General features: G+C 42.9%; 1 annotated feature.

The window, feature by feature from the left end:
- Positions 2,140-2,763: an enhancer, noted in NCBI's record as "OCT4-NANOG-H3K27ac-H3K4me1 hESC enhancer chr3:108918367-108918990 (GRCh37/hg19 assembly coordinates)". NCBI's record gives its function as "activates a minimal SCP1, AML or CMV promoter by ChIP-STARR-seq in primed H9 embryonic stem cells {active_cell/tissue: H9 hESC(primed)}" and the evidence as "EXISTENCE:reporter gene assay evidence [ECO:0000049][PMID:30033119]".

The raw sequence follows: 4,263 nt of genomic DNA on the forward strand, positions 1-4,263 counted from the left end.
ATGCAGTGTTTGGTTTTCTGTTCCTCTGTTAGTTTGCTGAGAATGATGGTTTCCAGCTTCATCCATGTCCCTGCAAAGGACATGAACTCATCTTTTTTATGGCTGTATAGTATTCCATGGTTTACATGTACCACATTTTCTTAATCCAGTCTATCATTGATGGGCATTTGGGTTGGTTCCAAGTCTTTGCTACTGTAAATAGTGCTGCAATAAACATATGTGTGCATGTGTCTTTATAACAGAATGATTTATAATCCTTTGGGTATATACCCAGTAATGAGATTGCTGGGTCAAATGATATTTCTGGTTCTAGATCCTTGAGGAATTGCCACACTGTCTTCCACAATGGATAAAAACCCTAGAAGAAAACCTAGCCATGCAGTGGAAGTATTTAAGGGGCTGAATGCAGTGGCTCATGCCTGTAATCCGAACACTTTTGGAGGCTGAGACAGGAGGATTGCTTGAAGCCAGGAGTTCAAGACCAGCCTGGACAGTATAGTGAGACCCAGTCTCTACAAAAATTTTTTTTAATAAAAAATTAAAACATTAAAAAAGAAGGGCAAAGTGCCATGATATATAAAGTTTACCCTTGAATGGTTTCCAGGGAAAAAAATCTAGACAGATATCACAAATGATAAAGCAAATGGAGTTAAATGTTAATAATTGATGAATCTGGGAAAAAGGTATATGAGTGTTATTTGTACTATTTTTATTTTTGCAACTTTTCTGTAAGTTTGAAATTATTTCTACACATATATATAAAGCAGGTACTAACAGTATAACAGTATTTTGTATATATATATTACACATATGTATGAGTCTATATATGTACATATTACGTGCATAGAGAAAGCTCTAAAAGAAAAGGCACTAAGGTATTACAAAGAGGATATCCAGGTGGAGGGAATGTAAAGTTTTATTTTTCTCCTGCCTATATTAGTTTTCTACATCACACACATACTATATCTGTAATAATAAACATATTTTTAAAGAGCAAGTAAATGAAAACCAGGAAAATATACCATTTGTATTACAAGGAACACCAAAATTTTGGCCATAAGTCCTTCAAGAGGACTTACGAATCATAAATTGCTTTGACTCCTTTTGAGCAATGCTCTTACCATCATATATAAAGAATCTTTAGGGATGTGCAGCCACATATGTTGATGCTGAGGCCTGATTTATAATAAACACTAAATATGTCAGCTAGGTCAACCACTCACCATGGTGTCTGGTTAGGTCTGGATGAGCATGAATTTAAGTATATTGCTATTCATTCATACCTCAAATCCACCTCATTTACGTGTCCCTGAAATTTGTCAGTAATGGTTTGTCTTAGGTGAAATTACCAAGGTGTGAGTAGTATATGAGGTTGCAATCCAACAGACAATGGCTGGTGAATACCACTGGCTTGTTTCCCTTCTTTGACTGGACATAACAGCTCCCAGACCTCAATTTTGACATCCATACGGGTAACAAAGGCATAGCAGGGTTCGTGAAGGCCAAGTTAAGTTTCCCCAACTGCCTTTCACTGCCTGGTTTCAGGCTTTCAAGCAGCAATCCCTGAAAAGTTGGAGAGGCCACATGGCCATCAGCTGGTGTCTTGTGCCCTTGCTGGCCTTAGTCCTCTCTTGATAAGGCAATCTGTGAAGTTGTTGATGGCTTAGCTTTTAGAGAATACCCTTCATACTCTACTCTGTTCATCACTCACCTCAGAGAAGCTTTTAAAGTTGGTGTCATTTGGGCTAACAGGTATTTTTTTCCAGAAACAGTATTTATTCTGCGCTGTGTCTTTATATCATAGTTCATGAAGCTTTGTCAGCATTTGTACTTACCAAGGGACATCATCAACCCTGCCCTTGCTAACTTTAAGTCTTTGCTCTGGCTTTCCCAGAATCCTGCCAAAAATGATTATGTCATCTAAATAGATAAATGCCTCTAGGTAATTCATATCCCCCAATTACCTTCTCCATTAAACACTGAAAACTGGCAGAGGCCCTGGAAATATGTTCGGGCAGTTTTTCAAATTAATATTCCACCCCTTTCTCACATACAGGGCAGATGAAGTCAATTTTTTTCTTGATCTCCTTTAGCCGTATGTGTTTAATCATTCTTACTCCTCAAGTCCAGAAGTGACTTCCAATGTCTCCTTGGCAGTCAGTCCAAGATGGCTTGAACTTCTGGGACAGGTTGCTAGTCCATTTTGGTGCGCATATTCAGAATGCAATAGTCCATGTAATGATAGTTTGCCAGATTGTTTTTACACCACTATGATGGGCCATACCTAAGGCTCTAGAATTTGGGTATAATGATGCTAATGACTCCTTAATATGCTCTCATATGTATTTCGTTTTTGACCTTACAACCTATCTAGAATGCTCCTGGAAAGTGTGTGGATCATTTTAGTTCTGTTCTTTGTTGTCAATCTGAACATAATGTAGTTTTCATTCAAGGAAGGAGAAAAATTGTTCCTATCTTAAAAGTTGTTCTCCGGGGGAGGAGCCAAGATGGCCGAATAGGAACAGCTCCGGTCTACAGCTCCCAGCGTGAGCGACGCAGAAGACGGTGATTTCTGCATTTCCATCTGAGGTACCAGGTTCATCTCACTAGGGAGTGCCAGACAGTGGGCGCAGGCCAGTGTGTGTGCGCACCGTGCGCGAGCCGAAGCAGGGCGAGGCATTGCCTCACCTGGGAAGCGCAAGGGGTCAGGGAGTTCCCTTTCCGAGTCAAAGAAAGGGGTGACGGACGCACCTGGAAAATCGGGTCACTCCCACCCGAATATTGCGCTTTTCAGACCGGCTTAAGAAACGGCGCACCACGAGACTATATCCCACACCTGGCTCGGAGGGTCCTACGCCCACGGAATCTCGCTGATTGCTAGCACAGCAGTCTGAGATCAAACTGCAAGGCGGCAACGAGGCTGGGGGAGGGGCGCCCGCCATTGCCCAGGCTTGCTTAGGTAAACAAAGCAGCCGGGAAGCTCGAACTGGGTGGAGCCCACCACAGCTCAAGGAGGCCTGCCTGCCTCTGTAGGCTCCACCTCTGGGGGCAGGGCACAGACAAACAAAAAGACAGCAGTAACCTCTGCAGACTTAAGTGTCCCTGTCTGACAGCTTTGAAGAGAGCAGTGGTTCTCCCAGCACGCAGCTGGAGATCTGAGAACGGGCAGACTGCCTCCTCAAGTGGGTCCCTGACTCCTGACCCCCGAGCAGCCTAACTGGGAGGCACCCCCCAGCAGGGGCACACTGACACCTCACACGGCAGGGTATTCCAACAGACCTGCAGCTGAGGGTCCTGTCTGTTAGAAGGAAAACTAACAACCAGAAAGGACATCTACACCGAAAACCCATCTGTACATCACCATCATCAAAGACCAAAAGTAGATAAAACCACAAAGATGGGGAAAAAACAGAACAGAAAAACTGGAAACTCTAAAACGCAGAGCGCCTCTCCTCCTCCAAAGGAACGCAGTTCCTCACCAGCAACAGAACAAAGCTGGATGGAGAATGATTTTGACGAGCTGAGAGAAGAAGGCTTCAGACGATCAAATTACTCTGAGCTACAGGAGGACATTCAAACCAAAGGCAAAGAAGTTGAAAACTTTGAAAAAAATTTAGAAGAATGTATAACTAGAATAACCAATACAGAGAAGTGCTTAAAGGAGCTGATGGAGCTGAAAACCAAGGCTCGAGAACTACGTGAAGAATGCAGAAGCCTCAGGAGCCGATGCGATCAACTGGAAGAAAGGGTATCAGCAATGGAAGATGAAATGAATGAAATGAAGCGAGAAGGGAAGTTTAGAGAAAAAAGAATAAAAAGAAATGAGCAAAGCCTCCAAGAAATATGGGACTATGTGAAAAGACCAAATCTACGTCTGATTGGTGTACCTGAAAGTGATGTGGAGAATGGAACCAAGTTGGAAAACACTCTGCAGGATATTATCCAGGAGAACTTCCCCAATCTAGCAAGGCAGGCCAACGTTCAGATTCAGGAAATACAGAGAACGCCACAAAGATACTCCTCGAGAGGAGCAACTCCAAGACACATAATTGTCAGATTCACCAAAGTTGAAATGAAGGAAAAAATGTTAAGGGCAGCCAGAGAGAAAGGTCGGGTTACCCTCAAAGGAAAGCCCATCAGACTAACAGCGGATCTCTCGGCAGAAACCCTACAAGCCAGAAGAGAGTGGGGGCCAATATTCAACATTCTTAAAGAAAAGAATTTTCAACCCAGAATTTCATATCCAGCCAAACTAAGCTTCAT

The sequence above is a fragment of the Homo sapiens genome, chromosome 3 (assembly GCF_000001405.40).
Source record: "Homo sapiens chromosome 3, GRCh38.p14 Primary Assembly".
Classification (NCBI taxonomy): Eukaryota; Metazoa; Chordata; class Mammalia; order Primates; family Hominidae; genus Homo; species Homo sapiens.